This window comes from Homo sapiens, chromosome 9, assembly GCF_000001405.40.
Source record: "Homo sapiens chromosome 9, GRCh38.p14 Primary Assembly".
In the NCBI taxonomy this organism is placed as follows: Eukaryota; Metazoa; Chordata; class Mammalia; order Primates; family Hominidae; genus Homo; species Homo sapiens.
This window is the reverse complement of record NC_000009.12, coordinates 94176537-94201857: the sequence shown is the minus strand read 5'-3', so window position 1 is coordinate 94201857 and position 25321 is coordinate 94176537. Positions and strand designations below refer to the sequence as shown.

Genomic DNA, 25321 nt, shown 5'->3' with positions numbered 1-25321 from the left:
TTTATATTTTTAAGAGAGACGGGGTTTCACCATGTTGGCCAGGCTGGTCTCAAACTCCTGACCTCAAGTGACCTGCCTGCCTCGGCCTCTCAAAGTGCTGTGATTACAAGCATGAGCCACTGCACCTGGACCAAAGTGGCTTTTGAATGATTCTTTGTATGGCAGTGAAGAAAAAAGTGACTACTAGTATAGTTTTGTACTACTGCTTTGATTCATGCTAAATGGGCCAGCAGTGTTACCTATCATTGCTTTTGGACCATCTGTGCAAAAATTAACACACTGAAAAAAGTAAATAAGATATGAAATATTATAAAAATAATTTTAATATTTTGGATCCCCAAAAGAATCTTAAGGATCCCTGGGAGGTCCATGGACCACACTTTCAGAACTGTTGCTTGTCCCGTAATCAGGCAATGTGCCAGCTTTTTAGTTAGGGTTCTCTTAAACGTCAGTATTTGAATGTCTTTCTCTGGGCCAATTATTTCTACAGTCTCCTGCCAGGGGGAACTGAACTCACTTTACTTGAAGCAGAGTGCAAAAAGCGGTATACCCAGCAACACTATCAAAAACAGTAGCAATCTAGGTAGCAAACAAATATGAAAGGCCAATGACTCAGCTACCCTGGGGTTGCAGTCCTGGTTGGGGGAAAGCAAGGCACCAGCAGACTAGCCAGAAATTTAACAAGGAGATGTTAAAAATGAGATAGACATAGAGAACCTTGATAGGCTCTCCATACGTCCCAAACTTATTGGAAAGCTGCACACACGTGTAGAAGAGGCCGGAGAGAACTAGAGCTATTCACACATTCCTGGATGACTGCAAGACTGTGCACACAGGTAGAAAAGGCCTGAAAGGGCTCAAAAGAAATAAGAGCTAGGGAAGATTTGAAAGCCTAAACTTTGAATGCTTTCTTAGTCCATCTTTTACTTATAACAAAATACCCGAAACCGGATAATTTATAAGAAACAAAATTTATTTTTTACAGTTACAGAGGCTGAGAAGTCCAAGATCAAGGGACCACATCCAGTGAGAGCCTTCTTGCTGGTGGGACTGATATGGTTTGACTGTTTTGTCCCCTATACATCTCGTTTCATGTGACCTCTGATGTTGGAGGTGGGCCTAGTAGGAGGTGTTTGGGTCATAGGGGTGCATCCCTCATAAATGGCTTGGTGTGTCCTCACAGTAATGAGTGAATTTCAATCTGTGAGTTCACGTGAGATCTGGTTGTTCAAGAGCCTGGCAGCTCCTCCCTCTCTCTCTTGCTCCTTCCCTTGCCATGCCACACGCTGGCTCCCCCTTCAGCTTCTGCCACGATTGTAAGCTTCTTGAGGCCTCACAGGAGCAGCTGTTGGTGCCATGCTTCATGTACATCCTGCAGAACCATGAACCAAATAAATCTTTTTTCTTTATAAATTACCCACCTTCAAGTATTCCTTCATAGCAACCCCAAAATGGACTAACAGAGGGACTTTCTGTAGAGTTCCAAGGCAACATGGGGTATCACATGGGGAGGAGAATGAGCATGCTAACATGCTTGCACAGGTCTTTTTTCCTCTTCTTATACAGTCACCAGTTCCCCTCCCAAAATAACCCATTAATCCATTTACCCACTAATCCATTAATCTATGAATGGATTAATCCATTCATGAGGACAAAGCCCTCATAATCCAATCACCTCTTAAAGGCCCCACCTCTTAATATTGCTACATTGAGGACTATATTTCAACACAAGTTTTGAAGGAGACAAATATTCAAACCACAGCAAATACATTCTCCAAACCATACACAGATCTATCAGCAAAGAGTGGGGACCTAACTGGCTTGAGATGTTTGAACCAAACCTCTGACTAATCTTTGGCTGACAAAATATGCTGAAACAAGAGTAATTCTAGAAAGCCTCTCTTTAAAAAATGTGAGTGCAGACATTAGCAGCCTCACATTGTAGTGGAGACAAATTCCACAGAATTAGTCCAGACAAGTGTATCATACAAACAGCAACCCCCTTTGGGGCAAATCACAATGTAGCATTCCTATAACATAATGTGTACAATGCCAGTTTTTTTTTGTTTTTTTTTTTGAGACAGAGTCTCACTCTGTTGCCAGGCTGGAGTGCAGTGGTGCAATCTCGGCTCACTGCAACCTCCGCCTCCTGGATTCAAGCAATTCTCCTGCCTCAGTCTCCTGAGTAGCTGGGAGTACAGGCGTGCTGGCGCCCGGCTAATTTTTGTATTTTTAGTAGAGATAGGGTTTCACCATGTTGGCCAGGATGGTCTCTATCTCTTGACCTCATGATCCGCCCGCCTCAGCCTCCCAAAGTGCTGGGATTATAGGCATGAGCCACTGCACCTGGCCAGCAGTGTGTTCTTTACTTAGGAAACAAGTCAACAGAAATCATCTTTGAGTAATCCCAAACAATAGATTTAGCAAAGACTATTTTAAATATATTTCAAAGAAAAGAGATCACATTTAAATAAAGTAATAAATGATTACAAGTAGGGTTTATTACAGGCATGCATGGCTGTTTCAATATTTGAAAATCAATCAATCTAAACTACCATGTGGATAGGCTAAGAAAAATCACATTTTGTTTTGTTTTTCTTCCCAAGATGGTGGATTGGAAACAGTGTCAGCATGACTCTCCCACTTGGAAAGACAAAATGGTGAGTAGAAATTCATACTGTGAACTTTTTTCTAAGAAGCAATGCAGGAACTGAACAGAAAAACAGAAACCATAGACCCTTTGAAAGAAGCAGCAGGCTGCAGCCTACACCCACTGTGAGCCAGGTGAAAAATTGTAAGTCCTCAGAGTGTGACAGGGGGAGAGACTGCCTCCAGGATATACATCCCCACCAGGTAACCTGGCAATTCAGCCCACAGGGGAAGGCCTTAACCATACCCAGCACTGGAACTAATATAGGGAGTGGTGGGGTAATATAAAAGTAGGAGCAGCAGCAAGCAGAGCCTTGCATGCATTCCTAGTCTCCAGCACAGACCGAGGGAAGCCACTCCTGATTCTACGTCACAGAGGGCCTCACGGAAGTCAACTAGCTCAGGCAGAGGTTGCAGGTTGAAAGAAGCTCCCAACTGAAATTCATATAATCTTGAGTGGGGATGAACTCCCTTGACCAGAACCAGTGGGTGAGTAAGAAGTGTGCTGCAGCCACAGGCACAGGAACCGGGCACTCTTGCTTTGCAGGTAGATTGGGAGGGGGCATGGCCTGAACACTGGTTCCTGTCTCCACAGGGAAGGCTTATGGCCTAGGGCAGTTTTGAGTTCTGAGCTTACACGGCCTGGAATTTAGCTAGCGGCTGCTAGTGAACACTATAGGTGAGAGACCTGCCTTGCCAAGTGCATGAGAGCTGGGTGAGGCTTGTGAACTCTTTTATGTGGCAGAGGCAGCTATGTTCCTTCCTGAAACATTACCCCAGTGGCCAGAGAAATGCCCCCTAAACCCCTCAGGAGCCTCTGCTTGCCCTGCACATGGAGAGCCAAAGCATGGACCTGCCTAACCCAGCCCCTACCTGGCTTTGCCCCTACACCAGCCCTGGTAGTTCACTACAAGGGACAGCAACTTTTGGGAGCCCTATGGCCATTGCCTGAGAATCCAGAGTACCTCTCTGGGGTAACATAAGGCAATTAACATAAAGCAAAGCAGTTAATCCCACCACTTCTACTGTAGCTGGTGCTCTATTGCAAGTACCACCTCCTGGCTGGAGGCCAACTGATACATTATAGCATCGTTGGGTAGAATAACCCTGTGCCCAGGAAAGAGAAAACTTGTGCATGACCTCAGCTATCACCATCGCCTGCACCACCCTGGCTAACCAGGAGGTCCTGATCTGTCCACATGACAGATTCATTGGTACTACAAGCAGCATTTGAGACAGCCAATACATGAAGGCTATTTACAACCAAGGAATCTCACAGAGTCTACATCACTCCCCTGTGACCCGCATCAGAAGGGGTGTTGGTACTTGCTGCTGGGACAATTAAGGACTGGTCACATCACTGGATCTCTTGCAGACACTCCCCAGCACCAGCCTGGAGTGTGGCAGCTCCACTAGGTGGCTAGACGCAGCAGAGCAGCAGCATTCACAGTGGTCTGTTTCTTAGGGAATCCTACTCCTAGGGGAAAACTTCCTAGGGGAATTGGGTGTGCACCACATCAAGGGAACACCCCATGGAACAAAAAAATCCAGATGCAGGCCTTGAGTCCTGGATCTTTCTGCTGATGGAAAGTCTCTTTCAGCAGAGGCACAGTTACAATACTGAGCTCAGCAGGGAAAGTCTGAAGCTCTACCCCAACACACAGGTAACCCTGGTGCTCATGAAGGGTCTTGGAGAAGGGGACTTCTTTTTCCCCTTGTCCACCACTGCAGAAACAACTGGGGCTTTTCCAGTGGGAGCATGTGTGGGTACACCATAGAGAGCCTTGCTGGAAAACTTCAGGGTAACTGCATCCCCACAGTAGAGAGCACCTTCTATGTTCAGACTTGGATGAGAGGTAGACTCACGATTCCTCTCAACTTGGAACATCAACGTTCCTGCAGACAAAATGAGGTGCCTGTCTGATCTGCATAGCTGGAACACTGAGTCAGGAGTGTGTCTGGGAGGTGGACTGCTTCCCTGCGCCTTGCGGGGGAGCTGATGTGGCTCCCAATCTACCCCCTGATAAGACCTCAGTGTGTTTCACTGAGAGCTCCACCTATCACCTATGTCAAGATTGGGACTTCAGCCCGCCATTGGGTACTGCATTTACCTACTACAATAACCACAACCAGTTTCTACCAGAGATGTCTCCCCTACTGGCCTGAAGCCTAAAATATTCAACCCAGTAAATAAAATACAGGGAAAATAAACAAATATAAGTGCACAACACAGGAGAACAAGGTAAGCTTCAAGATACCTCTGCAATTCCAACCCCATTGGAGACAGTGAGCACAATGCTACTACAACCATTATCTGAGAAAGCCATCAAACAAAGACTTTCTATAACCAAGGAATTAATAGTCTTCACCTCTGAAAGCACCAAGAGTCGAAATAGGCTACAATAAAGTCACATCCTTAAGGGAGAAAAGATAAATAAAAAAAACCAACAATTGAATAAAAAATAAATTCAAGACTAATTAGAAGATATATTCTACCCAAATGAGAGAGAGAAAAAAAACAGAAAAATAATTCTGGTAATATGAAAAAAACAGGATTCTATTACACCCCCAAAAGATCACACTAGCTCTCCAGCAATGGATCCAAACCAAGATGAAATCTCTGAAATGCCAGACAAAGAATTAAAAAGATTGATTATTAAGTTACTCAAGAAGATACCAGAGAAAGGTGAAAGCCAATATAAAGAAATTTTTTAAAACTTCAGGATATGAATAAAAAATTTTATAAAGAAATAGATATTTTAAAGAAAAGCCAATCAGAACTTCTGGAAATGAAAGACACATTTAGGGAAGTACAATATGCATGGAAAAGTTTTAACAATAGACTAGAACAAGTAGAATAAATAGTTTCAGAGCTCAAAGATATAGTTTTCAAATTAATAATCAGACAAAAATAAAGAAAAAAATCAAAAGAAGTGAATAAAGTCTCCAAGAAATATGGGATCATGTAAAATGGCCAAACCTAAGAATAACTGGTGTTGCTGAGAGAGAAGACAGCAAACAGTTTGGAAATTTTATTCGAGGGAATAATTGAGGAAAACTTCTCTGGCCTTGCTAGAGATATAGATATCCAAATACAAGAAGCTCAAAAAATTCCTGGGAGATTCATCACAAAAAGGACTTCACCAAGGCATATATAATAATCAGTCTATCTAAAGTCAACATGACAGAAAGAATTCTGAGAGCAGTGAGACAAATGCACCGGGTAACCTATAAAGGAAAACCTATCAGACTAACTGCAGGCTTCTCACCAGAAACTTTACAATCCAAAAGGGATTGGGGTCCTACCTTTAGCCTCCTTAAACAATAACTGTCAGCTAAGAATTTTGTATCCAGCAAAACTAAGTTTCATACATGAATAAAGTCATTTTCAGACAAACAAATGCTGATGGAATTTGTCACTACCAGGCCAGCCCTACAAGAAATGCTAAAATGAGTTCTAAATCCTGAAATAAAAGGTTGATATGCACCAGAAGAGAACCTCTTGAAAGCATAAAACACACAGGGCCCATAAAACAATAACAACATGAAGAAAACAAGTACCTAGGTAACAATTAACATGATGACTGGAACAATACCTCACATCTCAATATTCACATTGAATGTAAATGGCCTAAATGCTCCACTTAAAAGATACAGATTGACAGAATGGCTTAAAAAAATCACAAACCAAATATTTGCAGTCTTCAAGAGACTCACCTAACATGTAAGGATTCATATAAACTCAAGGTAAAGGGGTAGAAAAGATATTCCATGCAAATAGAAACCAAAAGTGAGCAGCAGTAGCTATTCTTTTTTTGTTTTTTTGTTTTTTGAGCCAGGGTTTCACTCTTGTGGCCCAGGCTGGAGTGCAATGGCACGATCTCAGCTCACTGCAACCTCCGCCTCCTGGGTCAAGCAATTCTCCTGCATCAGCCTCTCCAGTAGCTGGGATTACAGGCATGAGCCACCACATGGGCCAATTTTGTATTTTTACTAGAGACAGGGTTTCACCATTTGGCCTGGCTGGTCTGGAACTCCTGATCTCAGGTGATCTACCCGCCTTGGCCTCCCAAAGTGCTAGGATTACAGGTGTGAACTGCTGCACCCAGTCAGTAGTAGCTATTCTTATATCAGATAAAACAGACTTTAAAGCAACAACAGTTTAAAAAAAAAAAAGACACAGAAGGTCATTATATAATGATAAAAGGATCAACTGAACAAGAAGATTTTACAATCCTAAATTTATATGCACCTAACACTGGAACTCTCAGATTCGTAAAACATTTACTACTAGACCTAAGAAATAAAATAGCAACACAAGAGTAGTGGGAGACTTCACCCACTCCACTGACAGCACTAGACAGATCAAGACAGAAAGTCAACAAAGAAACAATGGACTTAAACTATACTCTAGAATAAATGGACCTAATAGATACTTACAGAACATTCTTCCCAAGAACTGCAGAATACAAATTCTTCCTTTCAGCATATGAAACATTCTCCAAGACAGACCATATGAGAGGCCACAAAACAAGTCTCAATAAATTTACAAATATCAAAATCATATCAAATATCTTCTAAGACCACAGTGGAATAAAACTAGAAATCAACTACAAAAGGGACCCTCAAAACTATACAAATACACAGAAATTAAACAGTCTGCTCTTGAATGATTTTTGGGTTAATAATGAAATCAAGATGGAAAGTTTAGGCTGGGTGTAGTGGCTCATGCCCGTAATCCCACCACTTTCAGAGGCCAAGGTGGGCAGATCACCTGAGGTCAGGAGTTAGAGACCAGCCTGGCCAACATGGCAAAACCCCATCTCTACTAAAAATACAAAAATTAGCCAGGCATTCTGGCACACGCCTGTAGTCCCAGCTACTCAGGAGGCAGAGGCTGGTGAATCGATTGAACCTGGGAGGCAGAGGTTGCAGTGAGCCAAGATCACGCCACTGCACTCCAACCTGGGAGACAGAGCAAGATTCTGTCTCAAAAAGAAAAAATAAAGGAAATTTAAAAATTCCTTGAAATGAAGGATAATAGTGACACAAGTTATCATTACCTCTGGGATAGGACAAAAGCAGTGCTAAGGGAAAGTTTGTAGCACTAAATGCCTACATCAAGAAGTCTAAAAGATCACAAATTGACAACCTAACATCATACCTCAAGGAACTAGAGAAACAAGAACTAAACCCAAATCTAGCAAAAGAAAGGAAGTAACAAAGATCTGAACAGAACCAAATGAAAATTAAATTTAAAAAAATACAAAATATCAATGAAACAAAAAAGCTGGTTCTTTGAAAAGATAAACAAAATTGATAGACCATTAGCCAGACTGACCAAGAAAAGAAGACTCAAATACACTCAATTAGAAATGAAACTGGAGACATTACAATGAACACCATAGCAACAGAAAAAATCATTCAAGTCTACTATGAACCCCTCTATGGAGATAAACAGAAAAGCTAAAGGAAATGGATAAATTCCTGGAAACATACAACCCTCCTAGATTAAATCAGGAAGAAACAGAAGCCCTGAACAGACCAATAACAAGCAGTGAGACTGAATCAGTAATTTCAAAAAAGATTGCCAACAAGAAAAGCCCAGGACCAGATGGATTAATGGATAAATTCTATCAGACATTCAAAGAAGAACTGGTGCCAATCCTACTGAAACTATTCCAAATGACTGAGAAAGAGGTAATCCTCCCTAACTCATTCTATGAAACCGGTATATCCCTGATAGCCAAACCAGGAAAGGACATACAAAAAAAGAAAAAAAGAAAATGACAGACCAATATCCCTAATGAACATGGAGGCAAAAATCATCAACAAAATACTAGCTAAGAAAATCCAACAGCATATCAAAAATATAATACACCATGATCAAGTGGACTTCATCCGAGGAATGCAGGGATGGTTTAACATACTCATGTCAATAAATGTGATATATCACATAAACAGAATTTAAAACAAAAACTACATGATCATTTCAATAGTTGCAGAAAAAGGATTCAATAAAATCCAGCATTTCTTTATGATAAAAACACTCAACAAACTAGGCATAGAAGGGACTTATCTCAAAATAACAAAAGCCGTATATGACAAAGCTACAGCTAACATCATGCTCAATGCGGAAAAAGTGAAAGCATTCCCCCCTGAGAACTGGAACAAGACAAGGATGTTTACTTTCACCAGTTCTATTCAATATAGTACTGGAAGTCATAGCCAGAGCAATCAGGCAAGAGAAAGAAATAAAGGGCATCCAAATTGGAAAAGAGGAAGTCAAACTATAGCTGTTTGCAGATGATATCATCATATAACTAGAAAACCCTAAAGACTCCTCAAAAAGACGCATAGATTTGATAAACAAATTCAGTTGGCTGGGCGCGGTGGCTCACGCCTGTAATCCCAGCACTTTGGGAGGCCAAGGCAGGTGGATCACCTGAGTTCAGGAGTTCGACACCAGTCTGACCAACATGGTGAAACTGTCTGTACTAAAAATACAAAAATTAGCCAGGCATGGTGGTGGGTGGCTGTAGTCCCAGCTACTCGGGAGGCTGAGACAGGAGAATCGTTTGAACTTCAGAGGCGGAGGTTGCAGTGAGCCAAGTCTGGGCCACTGCACTCCAGAGCAAGACTCCATCTCAAAAAACAAACAAAAAAATCAGTCAAGTCTCAGATTACAAAATCAATGTACACAAATCAGTAGCACTGCTACACATCAACAACGACCAAGCTGAGAATCCAATTAGGAGCTCAATCCCTTTTTATCACAGCTGCAAAACAAACAAATAAACAAAAAACCAACCTAGGAATATACTTAACCAAGGAGGTGAAAGAGCTATACAAGGAGAGCTACAAAACCCTGCTGAAAGAAATCATAGATGACACAAACAAATGTAAACACATCCCATGCTCATGGATTGGAAGAATCAATATTGTGAAAATGACCATACTGCCCAAAGCAATCTACAGATTCAATGCAATTCCTATCAAAATGCAAACATTATTTTTCACAGAATTAAAGAAAACATCCTATAATTCATATGGAACCAAAAAAGAGCCTGAATAACCAAAGCAATCCTAAGAAAAAGAACAAATCTGGAGGCATCACATTACCAGACTTCAAATTATACTACAAGGCTATAGTTACTGATGTGGTTTGGATCTGTCTCCCCACCAAATTTCATGTCAAATTGTAATCCCCAGTGTTGGAGGTGGGGCCTGGTGGGAAGTGACTGGATCATGGGGGTGGAGTCCTCATGAATGGTTTAGCACCATCCCTTCGGTGCTGTTCTCATGACAGTGAGTAAGTTATCACAAGATCTGGTTGTTTTTAAAGCGTGTAGTGCCGGCTGGGCGTGGTGTCTCATGCCCCATGTGAAAATCCCAGCACTTTGAGAGGCCGAAGTGGGTGGATCACCTGAGGTCAGGAGTTTGAGACCAGCCCGGCCAACATGGTGAAACTCCATCTCTACTAAAGATACAAAAAAATTAGCTGTGCATGGTGGTGGGCGCCTGTAATCGCAGCTACTTGGGAGGCTGAGGCAGGAGAATCGCTTGAACTTGGGAGGCGGAGGTTGCAGTGAGCTAAGATGGTGCCATTGCACTCCAGCCTGGGCAAAAAGAGTGAAACTCCGTCTCCAAAAAAAAAAAAAAGTGTAGCACCTCCCACCTCTCTCTCTCACTCCTTCTCTGGCCACGTAAGATGTGCCTACTTCCCTTTTGCCTTTCACCATGATTGTAAGTTTCCTGAGGCCTCCCAAGAAGCAGAAGCCGCTATGCTTCCTGTACAGCCTATAGAACCATGAGCCAATTAAACCTCTTTTCTTTATAAATTACCCGGTCTTGGGTATTTCTTTACAGCAGTGCAAAAACAGACTAATACAGTACCAAAACAGCATAGTTCTGGTATAACAGTAGGCATGTAGACCAATGGAACTGAGTAGAGAACCCAGAGGTAAAGCCAAATACATAGAGCCAAATGATCCTTGACAAAACATACAAAAACATAAATTGGCAAATGGACACCCTATTTAATACATGGTGCTGGGAAACTGGCTAGCCACATGTAGAAGAATGAAACTGGATCCCCATTTCTAACCTTACACAAAAATCAACTCAAGATGGATGGAAGACTTACATCTAAGACCCAAAACCATACAAATTCTGGAAGATAACCTAGGAAAAACTCTTTTGGATATTGGCCTAGGCAAGTAATTCATGACTAAGACCCCCAAAGCAAATGTAACAAAACAAAAATAAATAAATGGAATCTAATTAAACTAAAAAACTTCTGTGCAGCAAAAGAAATAATCATCAGAGTAAACAGACAACCCAGAGAATGGGAGAAAATATTTGTAAAGCATACATTTGACAATGGCCTAATATCCAGAATCTACAAAAAACTCAAGCAAATCAGCAGGAAAAAAACACCTACAAATCATCCCATCAAAAAGTGGGCAAATGACATGAACAGACATTTCTCAACAGAAGATATACAAATGGCCAAAAAATGTATGTAAAGATGCTCAACATCACTAATCATCAGGGAAATGCAAAGTAAAGCCACCCTACTCCTGCAATAACGGCTATTTAAAAAGCTAAACAACAATATATGTTGGTGTGGATGTGGTGAAAAAACACTTTCATACCCTGCAGGTGGGAATGCAAATTAGTACCATCTCTATGGAAAAGTTTGAAGATTTCCAAAAAAATTAAGAGTAGATCTACCATTTGATCCAGCAATCTCACTACTGGGTATCTACTCAAAGGAAAAGAAGTAATTATATCAAAAGGACACCTGCACAGGTATGTTTATTGCAGCATAATTCACAGTTGCAAAGATATGGAACCAACTTAAGCGCCCATCGACCAATAAGCGGATAAAGAAAATGTGGTATATGTATACCATGGAATACTACTCAGCCACAAAGAAGAACAAATTAATGTCTTTTGCAACAACATGGATGGAGCTGGTGGCCATTATTTTAAGTGAAGTAACTCAGGAATGAAAAACAAAATATCATATGTTGTCACTTATAAGTGAGAACTAAGCTTGTAAGTGACAACGTATGGTATAAGTGGGTACATAAAGGCATACAGAGTGATATAATGGACTATGGAAAATGAGAAGCAGGAGGGGAGTGGAGGGTGAGAAATAACAATCTACATATTGGGTACAACGTACACTACTCAGGTGATAAGGGCACTAAAATCTCAGACTTTCTTTACCACTATATAATTCATCTATGCAACCAAAAACCATTTGTACCCCCAAAGCTATTGAAATTTTAAAAATTCATTGGAATAACATAAAAACAAAGATAAAAGACAAAAAAGAAATTTCAAAATATATATTTTAAAAATCATATGATCATGACTATACTAATAAATACAGAAAATCATTTGACAAAATTCATAGCATTCATAAGAACTCTCAAAAAACTAGCAATAGTGGGAAATTTCCTAAACTTGATAAAGATTTTCTTAAAAATAACTATAGCTAACATACCTAACAGTGAAAGACTCAATGTCTTCCATGTAAGAACAAGGCAAGGATGTCTTCTCTCACCATTTTTTTTCGTATCTGTGCTGGAAGTTCTAAGGCAAGCAAAAGCAGTTAGGTGATGCCACATAAATGATGGAGTAGGGAGTTCCAATAATCAGTCCAGTCCCTCCACTGAAGCATCCATTAAGCTGGCAAAATCTGACAGAATCAACTTTTTCAAACTCTGGATTCTAATACAAAACTGGCGGCAACCAGTGAAGTGCTTAACGAAAAAAAATTTTTTTGCTTCCTTTCTTATCAATTCCATTTCCCAGGTCACCAATAGCAATGGGAACAGGGATCTGCATTCCTAGTGTGGCTTTCTGATGCCAATAACCATGTTTCCCAAAAATTATGGCTCTGAGTTATTTATTTATTTATTTTTTTTTTGAGACAGTATCTTGCTCTGTCACCCAGGCTGGAGTGCAGTGGTGCCATCTCAGCTCACTGCAACCTCCACCTCCTGGGTTCATGCCATTCTCCTGCCTTAGCCTCCCAAGTAGCTGGGACTACAGGCACCCGCCACCACACTTGGCTAATTTTTTTGTATTTTTAGTAGAGATGGGGTTTCACCGTGTTAGCCAGGATGGTCTCGATCTCCTGGCCTCGTGATCCGCCCACCTCAGCCTCCCAAAGTGCTGGGAATACAGGCGTGAGCCACCACGCCCGGCCTGGCTCTGAGTTTTGACCTGACAATTCCCTAAGGGACTGGTGCATAGGATAAGCTCTTTTACAACCCCTTCAGCCTAGAGTGGCTTTCCAGGTGACATCTGTCAAAAGCATTCAGACATATACTACACATAGCTGTCTGGATCAAGGTGTGGTGGATGGGGCAGGAGCTGGTGGGTGGTATATAGAATCAAACATCTGGAAAGAAGAAAGCTGAGGCAGAAGTTTCTTGGGAATTAATGGTTTTGAAGGGCTACTGCGTATACTGGAGAACCCAGAGTGCAATATGCATGCATGAGGCTGGGAACATGCTCATAAAAAAAGAATGATAGAACCCTAGGCTTGCACCTTTGGCTGATTTTTGGACTCTGTGCAAGTAGGAGGTAAAGACTAAGTCACAGTCATAGATAGCCTGGCTAAGCATTGAAGGAATCCCTCAGCTCAGATCCAATCTGCAAAGACTAGGAGAGTTTTTTGGTTTTGGTTTCTTTTTGGCCCCAGCCATTAAGGCACATCTCTGTGAAATAACTGACTGCTAAAATAAGAGAAGAGACTTCAGTGACCACACAAGACAAGGAATATAGTATTTGCAAATATAATTTGGAAAAGTCACTAAACAAATGGATGATGGCAAACACCTACAATCAACAACAGCAAACACTGGGGAGGTGGGAGAATCAGCTTTTCACATTATAATATTCCAAATATCCCCCTTTATTTTATTTTATTTTATTTTATTTATTTATATATTTTTGAGATGGAGTCTCACTCTGTTGCCCAGGCTGGAGTCCAATGGTGTGATCTTGGCTCGCTGCAACCTCCGCCTCCCAGGTTCAAGCCTACTTTCTCTTTACCTCAGCCTCCCATATAGCTGGGATTACAGGCACACCCCACCACACCTGGCTAATTTTTGTATTTTTAGTAGAGGCGGGTTTCACCATGTTGGCCTGACTGGTCTTGAACTCCTGACCTCAAGTGATCTGCCTGCCTTGGCCTCCCAATGTGCTGGGATTGCAGGCGTGAGCCACCATACCCAGCCCAAATATCCCATTTTTAAGAAAAAAATTGTATGGCATACAAAGAAACAGGAAAGTATGGCTAGCCAACAGGAGTAAAGAAATTAATAGAAACCATCCTTGAGGAAGCCCAGACTTAATATAAAAGGCTTTAAATCACCTGTCCTAAATATGCTCAAAGAGCTGAAGGAAACCAAGAACAAAGAACTAGAGAGAACCAAGAATATAATATATAAACAAATAGAGAATATCAATACATAGATAGAAAATATAAAAAGAAATTCCAATAGCAATTCTAGAGTAGGTGTTTAGTCATGAGAGAGCTCCACCATCATGAATGAATTAATGACCCTATAAAAAGGGTTTGTGGGAGTGGATTTGCTCTCTCTTCTCCTTCCACCTTCCACTATGTGAGGATGCAGCAAGACCCACACAAGATGCTGGTGCTTTGATCTTGGACTTCCCAGTCTTCAATACTGCGAGAAACAAATTTCTGTCCTTCATAAATTAGCCAGTCTGTGGTATTTTATTATAGCAGCATAAAACAAAGTAAGATACCTCTTCTTACCACTTCTATTCAATAATGTAATGAAGATTCTAACTAATGGAATAAGGCAATTTTTTAAGGAGAAGGAAGAGAAATTGCATCCAGATTGATAAGAAATAGTAAAACTGTCTTTATTCACAGATGACATGATCCAAATTGTAGTAAACCCTAAACAATCCCCCCAAATACTACCAGAACTAATAAATGAGTTCAATAAGGTGACAAGACACAGATCAGTATATGAATGTCAACTGTATTTAGCAATGAACAATCTGAATATCAAATTAAGAAAACAATATGTTCACAATATTATCAAAAACAATAAAGAGCTGCACACAGTGGCAAACACTTGTAGTCCCTGCTATGTGGAGGATGGGGCAGGAGGATCACTTGAGCACAGGAGTCGAGGTTATAGTACACTATGATCACACCTGTGAATAGCCACTGTACTCCAGCCTGGGCAAAAGAACAAGACCCCGTCTCAAAAAAAAAAAAAAAAAAAAAGAATGTAACAGGAATAAATTTAATAAAAGAAGTGTAAGACTTATATACTGAAAACTCCAGAACACTGCTCAAATTATAGATCTAAAGAAATGGAGAGATCATTCCAGGTTCGTGGACAGGAAAACTCAGCATTGTTATCAATTAGCTATCCCCGTCAAAATCCAAGATTTTTAAGAAACTTACAGGCTGATTGTAAAGTTTACATAGAAATGCATGTAACTTAGAGTAGCAAAAACAATTTTGAAAAAGAACAACACTGGAGGACTTATACTACTCATTTCAAAACTTTATAAAGCCACAGTAACCAAAACAGTGTGGTACTAGCATAAAGATAGATATATAGATTAATGAAACAGAATAGAGGTCAAGCAATAAGGCCACCTATATATAGTGAATTAATTTTCAATTAAGGTGTCAGGCCAATTCGACTAAAAAAAGACAGTCTTCTCAACAAATGGTGCTGAAACAATTGAATAGTTTGACGGTCTGACAGTTTCCTAGAAGGTTAAATTTACCATGCAACTCAGCAATTCCACTCCTAGGTATTTCTCCCAGAGAACTGAAAACAGATGTCCACAGAAAGAATTGTGGACATTAATGCTGTGTAGCAGCATTAATCATAAGAACCAAAGCTAGAAAAAAAGAATCCAAATACCCACCAACTGGTGAAAGGATAAACAAGGCCGGTGTGGTGGCTCACGCCTGTAATCCCAGCACTTTGAAAGGCCAAGGCAGGTGGATCACCTGAGGTCAGGAGTTTGACCTCAGCCTGGCCAACATGTGGAAACCCCGTTTCTACTAAAAACATAAAAATAGCCAGGCGTGGTGGCAAGCGCCTGTAATCCCACCTATTCCAGAGGCTGAGGCAGGAGAATGGCTTGAACCTGGAAAGTGGAGGCTGCAGTGAGCCAAAATCATGCCACCGCACTCCAGTCTGGGAGACAGAGTGAGACTCCATCTCAAAAACATAAAAAAAAAAAAAATTAAAATTAAAAAAAAAAAGGCCAGGTGCGGTGGCTCACGCCTGTAATCCCAGCACTTTGGGAGGCCGAGGTGGGCGTATCACCAGGTCAGGAGATCGAGACCATCCCTGCTAACATGGTGAAACCCTGCCTCTACTAAAAATACAAAAAAGTAGCTGGGCGTGGTGGCGGACGCCTGTAGTCCCAGCTACTCGGGAGGCTGAGGCAGAAGAATGGCGTGAACTCGGGTGGCAGAGCTTACAGTGAGCCGAGATAGCACCACTGCACTCCAGCCTGGGTGTGCAGAGCGAGACTCTGTCTAAAAAAAAAAAAAAAAAAAAAAAAAAAGAAGATAAAGAAGATTTGATATCTATACAAGAAAATACTACTCAGAAATATAAAGAAACAGTTGAGCTCAGGAGGTCGACACTGCAGTGAGTCAAGATCACAATGCTGCACTCCAGCCTGGAAAACAGAGTGAGAACCTATTTCAAAAATATATATATCACAACAAGAATGAACCTTAAAAACAGGCTAAATGAAAAAAGCCATATTCAAAGGTCTACATATTACATGATTCCTTTAGGGATTAAGTCACCATTTCCCCCAATCACAAAAGAAGGATGTATCAACAAGATATTATTATTATTATTATTTTTTGAGATGGAGTCTCACTCTGTCACCCAGGCTGGAGTGCAGTGGTATGATCTCGGCTTACTGCAAGCTCCGCCTCCCGGGTTCACACCATTCTCCTGCCTTAGCCTCCCGAGTAGCTGGGACCACAGGCACCCATCACCATGCCCGGCTAATTTGTTTTGTATTTTTAGTAGAGATGGGGTTTCACCATGTTAGCCAGGATGGTCTTGATCTCCTGACCTCGTGATCCGTCTGCCTCAGCCTCCCAAAGTGCTGGGATTACAGGCGTGAGCCACCGCGCCTGGCCAGATATTATTTTTAATGCAGTTTTCCAGTCACAGGATTATTTTTCCCAACTATTTAGGCATCTTCTGCTCTGCCATTCACCATACTCTGCCCTTCTTTCCCCTATACTGAAGTGCCCAAGATAATAAAATAATCATAAGACTACTTAGGGAAACTTATTTGCAATCTTGGGAGATATTAGACAAATGTATTATACCTGAAACCTTGTGCATCTTTTCAGATTTTCTCAACCACCTCATTTCTCATTTTGGTCAGTGACCCTCTACTGGGTCACTCCTCTGCTTTCAGACCTAGTTAAAACACCACACTTCAGGGTAGAGTATAAAAAGCTTCCTAAGTAGCTGCCAATGGGCTGGATGATACAACCTGAAAGCTTAGAGAAGTTAGTTCCCCATGAGGACCTATGACCAGTATTTCCAAGACTAATGAGAAGACAAAGACATAGAAGGGTGCTGGGCATATTTTAAGAAGGAAAGGGTACATACAGCATACACAGGGAGTTCTTACATTTCATGATACCATGCTAATACAAACTTGTTCATACTGGAGCCTTGTTCTTGCTTTGCATAGTTCTCTACCAGGCAAGGCAAAGCAAGGACATGGTTCTTATGTGCATGAATTACTGTAACAAGATGCCAGGCAATGCAAGGACTACACACACACACACACACACCACAGACACATACACGCACACACACTTGCATTTAAGAGCCTGTCATGTGAAATGTGCTCATATTCAGTACTCTGGACAATATACCTAGGTAGCTAAAATGAGATCTTGGGTTTAAGAAACTTAGGCTACGTTACTTAAGTGAGACAAGCTATACAGTTTTCTTTTAAACATCTGTTTCTATATCAGTATTTCATTGTAAATCATCAAAAAGTCTATAAATAATAAGTTCTGCATTAGGGTAACTGCAGAGGTTCAAAGTTTACAGTTGCCATTCAAGAGAGCAAAAATGTAACAAAAACTTTTGTTGCCGAGTATCTTGAGCCCCCATGTCTACTAATGGCAGAACACTGAAATTTCATCCATTTAAGAGAACTGTCTCGATTTAAAGCAGTTTTTAGGAGAGTTAGTTTATCAAATTCAAGAGGATCTAAATTTCCAAAGGGCTTAACTCATGTCAGCACTAAGAAGGGGTGTCCTTACTGTTTGGTCCATACTGTCTTGAGCTTGGTCCTTGCTGCCTGCCACTTGTAAGATCCCAGTTTCAGAAATGTGGTCTTGCCATCAGCCTCTTACCACTTCATGTTCATGCTCACGTTCAGGGTCCTGCTACAGATGTCAGAGATCCATTGTCTACCATCCTTATCTAAGCCATAGGCTTCTTCCTGATGGCCCCTTAGCACCTTTCCTCTTCCCTCACATTTAGGGGCTTTCCCTGGACTTCCCTATGTGGGATCCTGTGAGGAGAGCTTTTCCCTGCAAGTCTCATAACCCCCATTCACTATAAGGTAGTTCATTTTTCTCATATAATACAAAGTGTAGAGGAGAGCAGATGCTGGCATTGACTCAACAGCTCAGTAATGTCAGAACTCTTGGTTGGTATTATTGACCTAACCTACCCTTCGTGGTCACAAGATGGCTGCAGCAGCTCTGATCATCACACAACCACATTCAAACCTAAGCATGATGCAGGCAGGTGCAGTGGCTCACAGCAGTAATCCCAGCACTCTGGGAGCCCAAGGTGGGAGGACTGTCTGAGCCCCGGAGTTCAAGACCAGCCTGGGCAACATAGCAAGACTCCGTCTGTAAAACAGAAAAAAATTAGCCAGGCATGGCGGTGTGCGCGTAAAGTCCAAGTTATGTGGGAAGCTGAGGTAGGAGGACCGCTTGAGTTGGGGAGGTCAAGGCAGCAGTGAGCCGTGACCACGCCCCTGCATTTCAGCCTGGGTGACAAAGCGAGACTCTGGGGTGGGTCGGGGGAGGGAGAAGAAAAGAAAGAAACCCTCTCCCTACCACTGGTCTTTACATCTCACTGATCAAATCTGGTCACATGCCTACCCCTAGACAAAAAACTAGGGTAACTTTCCTGAGATCCATACCTCAACAAAATCAAGGTTCTCCCAGCAAGGGGATATTTGGGTAGGCAAGTAACAGTGCCTGCCACAGCACCTCCGTGTCTTTAGCCAGAGCATTCTTCAAGCCTCTCACTGCTGTGGGGCCATGATGTACACAACCCTTCCCTAGAAGCTTTGTGGTCTCAGGTTATGCCCTGGGGAAAAAAATGCAGATCAACCATCCCCTGACCCTTGACTCCCCTTAATCCATACAGGTAGTCCTACCATGCCCATGCCGGAGTGTGCACAGGGACCGCTTCTCCAGCACTCAGCAGTCTGACTGGTTTCATTTCCTCTCATCTTACTGCTTGCTAGTAACTCTTCTTGGATGGAAAAAAAGACATGGTTGAATATGCATCTTCCTCTAGTCCACTGCATATAACTCATTGTTCTCAGCAATCCAGGTTTACCTCTTCAAATTTATGCAGAACTGCAAAAAATCATTTTCTCTGAAGTAACTGCTTCTGTCATTTTCAGCCAATTTTGGCCTCAAAGCTAAAAATACGTTGCTTGGTCATTGCTATTTGTCCTTCCTTCCATGGGGCAGTAAGCTAAGACTTTTAGCCTAATTCTCATGATGGAACAACTTCAAAGAAAAGGGAAAAACAAACTGCTTTATTAAAATGTACCATTATGGTCAGGACTTCAGTAGTGAGGAAGGCAGTGTGTGCGTAATAAACAGGGAAGTATATGTGAACACTATACTTTCTGCTCAATTTTGCTGTGAAACTAAAATTGCTCAAGAAATTAAATTTTAAAAAATGCTTTATTGTTCCAGTTCTGTACCATGTCCTGTGATAGAAGTCATATATATTGTAGGGTCCAAGTAATGTGGGAAGCCTCCGCAACTAACCAGCTTTCTCTGCTCCTCTGCTTGAAATTGAGAACAGTCCCACACAACTGTGGCTGAGCCTCATCAGACTCCCAGTGAAAATTTCTGAAGCCCAGGGTCAGGAGGAGTGCTGCCCATCTGAGGCCACTTGGTGTTTTTATGCGTGTGTGTGTTTTTCTTTAAATGGCAGGAGTGGAACAGAGCTTGTCAGTCTTTGTCAAGTTTTTTTTCCTAATGCCAATTACTGCAGATAACTATCTGTGTTATTTCCTTTCTCCCCTCCTTACTAGTGGGACCCTGATTGTATTCAGCCTGGCAATCAGTCCTGCCAGGACCACTTTCCAGGATTCCTTGGTCTAGTCTGTGATAGTTCCAAGGGATTACACGTAAAGGAGTCACTAGGTGGCATTTCTTGAGAAAACTAAATGAATTCAACCATAAAAGTGTCCCTTCTGCCTTTTCCTTTTTCCATCTTCATGAATGGAAAAACGACGTGGCCAGTTATAGCAGTCAGTTGTTACAGAGGTAACCTTGAGAATGGAAACCATGTGTTAGGGCTGGAAGAAAAGCTAGAAAGAATCCAGGACATCAGTCACAAAGCTTCCGTATCACTGGGGTACCTCATTTCTACCCGTGTTTCTGATGTTACCAGTTCAATGCAGTTACACCAACCCTGCATGCTTACTTATGGATCGTTTTTAAGTCAAACTAAAATAAGTTATGGGTTTCTATCAAGAAATAGGATTTCAGAATCCCAAGGAGTCTGATGCTTCCTTCAGGTCAGCCATTCAACCAGAAAACAAAACACTGCTCAGAACAAAGATTGATGACCAGTCCTAAGAGGGCCCAACTCCTTTCCCAGCCCTCCCCATAGGACCCCAACAACAGAAAGCAAAGTAGGAAATAAAATGGGGGGAGAGCAAGGAACCTAGAAAATTACTTCAACGCTGTAGGAAAAAGGCTAGCTGATGTGACTCAAATACTTCACTAAAAATGGTTAGACATAAATTTAGAATAAGTGAAACTAGAAACATTTTTAAGACAGTCTTGCTCTGTCGTCCAAGCTGGAGTGCAATAGCGTAATCTCTGGTCACTGCAACCTCCACCTCCCTGGTTCAAGCGGTTCTCCTTACATCAGCCTCACAAGTAGCCCACCACCATGCCAGCTACTTTTTTTTAGTAAGATGGGGTTTCATCATGTTGGCCAGGCTGGTCTCGAACTCTTGACCTCAGGGGATCTGCCTGCCTTGGCCTCCCAAAGTGCTGTGATTACAGGCGTGAACCACTAGGCCAGGCAGAAATACTCATTTTGAAATTACCCCAATCCTATCACACCTCATTTCCTTGCTCTTTTCCTACGCATCTTCGCCTAAATCAGTGCACATGAAATTGATGCAATTTTGCCACAACTTAAATCTTCAACTTTAAAGAACTGTACCATGTAAGGTACCTTAGAAAACATACCCAACCATCTCAATTCATAAAGGAAATTTAAAGCCCCAAGTATGAGAACATCCCTAGATCACGATTCTTCCTTCCACTGGAGCAAGGGGCTAGGCAGCAGAGGGGCAGGATGGGAAACTCCACTGAATTTCCTTTCAACTTTCTCACCCCTGGAGACTTTTAAATGTATTACTGCTCATGATCAGGCAAGGGTGGTTCACACCTGTAATCCCAGCACTCTGGAAGGCCACGGCCGGTGGATCACTTGAGGCCAGGAGTTCAAGACCAGCCTGGCCAACATAGTGAAACCCTGTCTCTAATAAAAATACAAAAAATTACCTAAATCCTGTCTACTCTACCCAGGAGGTGGAGGTTGCAGCAGTGAGCTGAGATCACACCACTGCACTCTAGCCTGGGAAACAGTGAGATTTTGTCTCAAAAAATAAAATAAAATAAAAAAAAATACTACTGTTCATAGTAGTTGGAAAAAGATGGAATGCTAATGCACAAATTCGTCTCATTCCTAGAATGATAAATGCTCAAACTAGACTAGTGAAATGAGACATAAGAGTTTTTACAAGGTAGTGTCTGCCTGAGCAAACTCAAATAATTACTCAAGTAAAGAAAGGAGGCTGTCCTGGCCAGCACTTTGGGAGGTAAAAGCCAGAGGATAATCAGGAGTTCAAGACCAGTCTGGGCAATATGGTGAAACCGTCTCTACAAAAATAAAATTAGCCAGGCATGGTTGTATGCACCTGTAGTCCCAGTTACTAGGAAGCTTGAGTCCGGGAGGTCAAGGCTGCAGTGAGCTGTGATCATTTCACTACACTCCAGCATGGGTGACGGAATGAGACCATCTCAAAAACAAAACAAAAAGGAGGGTGATCCTGAGCAGTTAATTGTCTGTACAAAGTCACACAAGTGTTTACAAAAATGGAAGAGCTGGAAATTGCTCGTGTTAGCTTTATTAAAACATCTGTAAATGACCATCCAATCACCAAATTATTGCTAATGAAAAATGAAACTAAGAACAAATCATAATAATTACAAATGAAAAATGCATCTACTACTGCAAGGATGGGGATAAGGGTTAAGGATGACTTAAAAAGCACTAGTTTTGAAGTATGCAGTGTTTTTATTGAAAAGATGTATAACTTTTAACAAAATATGTAACACTATTACCCAGTCAAGACAACCACTTTCATTTTATTGACCTTCCAGTTCTTGTACATATTAAACAGACAAATCACTGTTACATACCATAATGAGCAGCAGCTCAATTACCCATTCCCAAACCATGCAATTCCACCCCAGCCGCCCCAAATTTTAAATCCAGAAGACAAACCTAGAAAAGCAGCAAGATAAATATTTACAAACATTGTAGAAAAACAGCAGTATTTCAAGTTTTGTTAAATTCTTTCCTTCAGACATAATGTAGACATAGAGGAGGAACAGCTGAGAGTCTCTGCATCACAGAAAGAGAAACCTGAGCAAAAACAAAACCATGCTTTCTAAACTTTCCAGTGACACCAAAAGGGAGACACTAGCAACTAAGTGTACTTCAGAAGTCTCAAATTCTCATTAGTTGACTTTCAGTTATCAATGTCAGCACCATGCTGCAGTTTATAATCACTAACGCAAACACTGCTCTCTTTGATATTCTTGCAATGTTTTCATTTGAAAAAACCTACAGAAAGAACTCTGCTTACACCAAAGCAAAGTAGCAAGGAAACAGGTTATCGGTGAATAATAAGGCCCTAAGAAAGGCAGCAGGTCGTATAGTTACCTCCTTGTGGGCAAAATCCCTGCCCTAAAACTATGCAACCTACTACCTCTTCCTAGGAACCCATTTTTTTTTTCTTGCTGGTCTTCTACTTGGCAGATGCACTTCAAATTAACCTGTTAAATTAGGTCATGTTCTTTGAGTTTTGTTTCTAATTCAAACTAATCAGAATTCTTTAACTAATGCTTTTGAAAAGTTATCTGGCCATATGACCTTGGTAAAAAGCCACAAATACATTTGCTTAAAATCCAACCTCAAGTCACAAACGAACAAGAAAGTAATGACATCAGAGGATGTAAGCCAGTAGTCTAATACTCAGCCCACCACGTATTACTGGAGTCGCTGACTTTTAACATTTAATTATCAATTTTTTTTTTGGACAGTCTCGCTCTGTCACCCAGGCTGGAGTACAGTGGTGTGATCTCGGCTCACTGCAACCTCTGCCTCCTGGGTTTAAGTGATTCTCCTGCCTCAGCCCCCAGAGTAGCTGGGATTACAGGCGCCCACCACCACGCCCAGCTACTTTTTTGTATTTTTAGTAGAAACAGGTTTTCACCATTTAGGCAGGCTGGTCTCAAACTCCTGACTCAGGTGATCCGCCCACCTTGGCCTCCCCAAAGTGCTGGGATTACCGGCATGAGCCACCACACCCGGCCTAATTTTTGTATCTTTATTAGAGACTGTGTTTCACCAGGCTGGTCAGGATGGTCTTTAACTCCTGACCTCAGGTGCTCCACCCGCCTCAGCCTCCCGAAGTGCTGGGATTAGAGGTGTGAGCCATGGTGCCCAACCCAGTTACCAACATTTAAATATCAAATTTCATAAAATCTCCAGTCTCTCCTGTTAACTGGAAAAGTAGGTGACAATGTATATAAACCCTGCTTGCTACCTATCAACCAGAGCAAATTAATTTACTATATTTGCCAGTTACAACTAGCCCCTCCTGGGCCTCTGATGGTATTTCAGTTTTTGACCCCTGAATTAAAGCAAACAGAAACAAATTCTGATCATGAATTTTATCATCATTAAAAACAAGCTTTCAGAGATAGTCATTCTCTCCATAAAGGCATTTTTAAAGTTTTATTTCGATTTACTTACTCTGCTTAGCTAATAACAATGTCCTTATGTAATTAATAAAATATATAAATTAATTTTTCTCCAGGGCTTAATTATTAGATAAGGATACGTTTCCAACTGAAGGTGGCAACGTTATGCTGGAAGAACATGTCAGGAAGACCACAAAATTTCATGACTGTACTTGCTACACTTTCAGCAGAAGAGTTATACATATTTTCAATTCAACAAAGATTAAGCCAAAAAGAATTCTTAGAACATTCCCACTCTTCTTTGGCACATCAAAAGGCAACAAATGTCATTTTCTCCCATGTTTTTATGTGCAGTTTAGAACAAAGACCAATTATCTATGCAGCTGTCCACAGTGGATAAAACAAAAAGCATACATTTGGTCCAGAGTTAAGTCACCTGGGTTGGGCCCATCCAAGGAAGTTTGATGTTTCTACTCTCATGAAAAGTACCAATGGCACTGCACAGTGATTATCTTAGATATTAAGGATAAACACAAATTTCTCCTTAAATTTCCATTTATTGGAAATGATTGGAGGGAGGGAACTTCTCCCTCACCTCCACACTGCCTCTTTTCCAACTCTTCTTCCAACACAAAATAGTTTAAACAGCAAGCACTTAGAGAGCTTTTAGCCTTGCTTGTTGATTACAAGGCCCAAGTTAGTGTATGGTTTGCCCATCGGAGGAAAGCTAAAACATGGGCCTTCATGGGTATTAAAATTGAAGAAACCTTTTCCAGCATTTTTTCTATTTTCTTTAAAGTAACAACCTATGGACTTCCCCATCTGACATTTTCGAGTGATCCCACTGTGTGAATGAAGGACTACTTCAGGGTTTGAGGGCAAAGCTGAAATCTTAGCAACTTACCAGTGAGCAAAGGTAGAACCCAGAGCCCATCTCTCCTTTTCCAGGCTGCTGAGTAAAGTCTGGCTCAATCAACCTATCAATGAAGCAGTGCTTACAACATTCTCCAAGACCACCCAAAACCCAAACTGGAAATGAATCATGACTAATCTGACTCATTTTGGCTCACACAGTGCCCTTCCAATTTGTATTTACCTTTACCACCCAGGACCTGACCTTGGACATGTGTACCAGGATGTAAGGCAATAAACCTATTCACAATTCCAAAAGGGCCTGGTCCTCTATGAAGATTTCCTGAAGGCTACTTACTTTCTCTACTCATTAAAATTTTTGCTTAACTTCAAATTTCTGAAATATACCATATGTGAAAAATTTAAATGTTAATCTGTGCCTACTGTACTACTTGAACA

The 25321-nt window shown here is 41.3% G+C and overlaps 2 long non-coding RNA genes and 1 other non-coding gene across 8 annotated transcripts in view, besides 1 other annotated feature; 1 reads left to right on the top strand and 2 right to left on the bottom strand.

Annotated features, from left to right (window-relative positions):
- Window positions 1-25289, top strand: part of LINC02603 (long intergenic non-protein coding RNA 2603) — an 82743-nt gene extending 57454 nt beyond the window's left edge. For 2 of the 3 annotated variants that reach the window (NR_160773.1, NR_046165.1), the window contains exons 2-3: window positions 2607-2660; window positions 24127-25289. This is a non-coding gene — a long non-coding RNA (long intergenic non-protein coding RNA 2603). Of the gene's footprint in view, window positions 1-985; window positions 1045-2606; window positions 2661-24126 lie in introns of all 3 variants that reach the window. The other variant, NR_046163.1, reaches the window with a different exon arrangement.
- The window catches only part of MIRLET7A1HG (miRlet-7a-1/let-7f-1/let-7d cluster host gene), a 34648-nt gene continuing 10279 nt past the window's right edge, over window positions 953-25321 (bottom strand). For 2 of the 4 annotated variants that reach the window (NR_170276.1, NR_170275.1), the window contains one exon: window positions 953-1372. This is a non-coding gene — a long non-coding RNA (miRlet-7a-1/let-7f-1/let-7d cluster host gene). Of the gene's footprint in view, window positions 1373-18411; window positions 18596-21936; window positions 22039-25321 lie in introns of all 4 variants that reach the window. The other 2 variants (NR_170278.1, NR_170277.1) reach the window with 2 other exon arrangements.
- Window positions 22564-22613: an enhancer, noted in NCBI's record as "active region_28628". NCBI's record gives its function as "activates an Ori minimal core promoter by ATAC-STARR-seq in GM12878 lymphoblastoid cells {active_cell/tissue: GM12878}" and the evidence as "EXISTENCE:reporter gene assay evidence [ECO:0000049][PMID:35858748]".
- MIRLET7D (microRNA let-7d) lies at window positions 22938-23024 on the bottom strand. Its single transcript, NR_029481.1, has one exon. It is a non-coding gene; the product is annotated as a microRNA let-7d (primary transcript).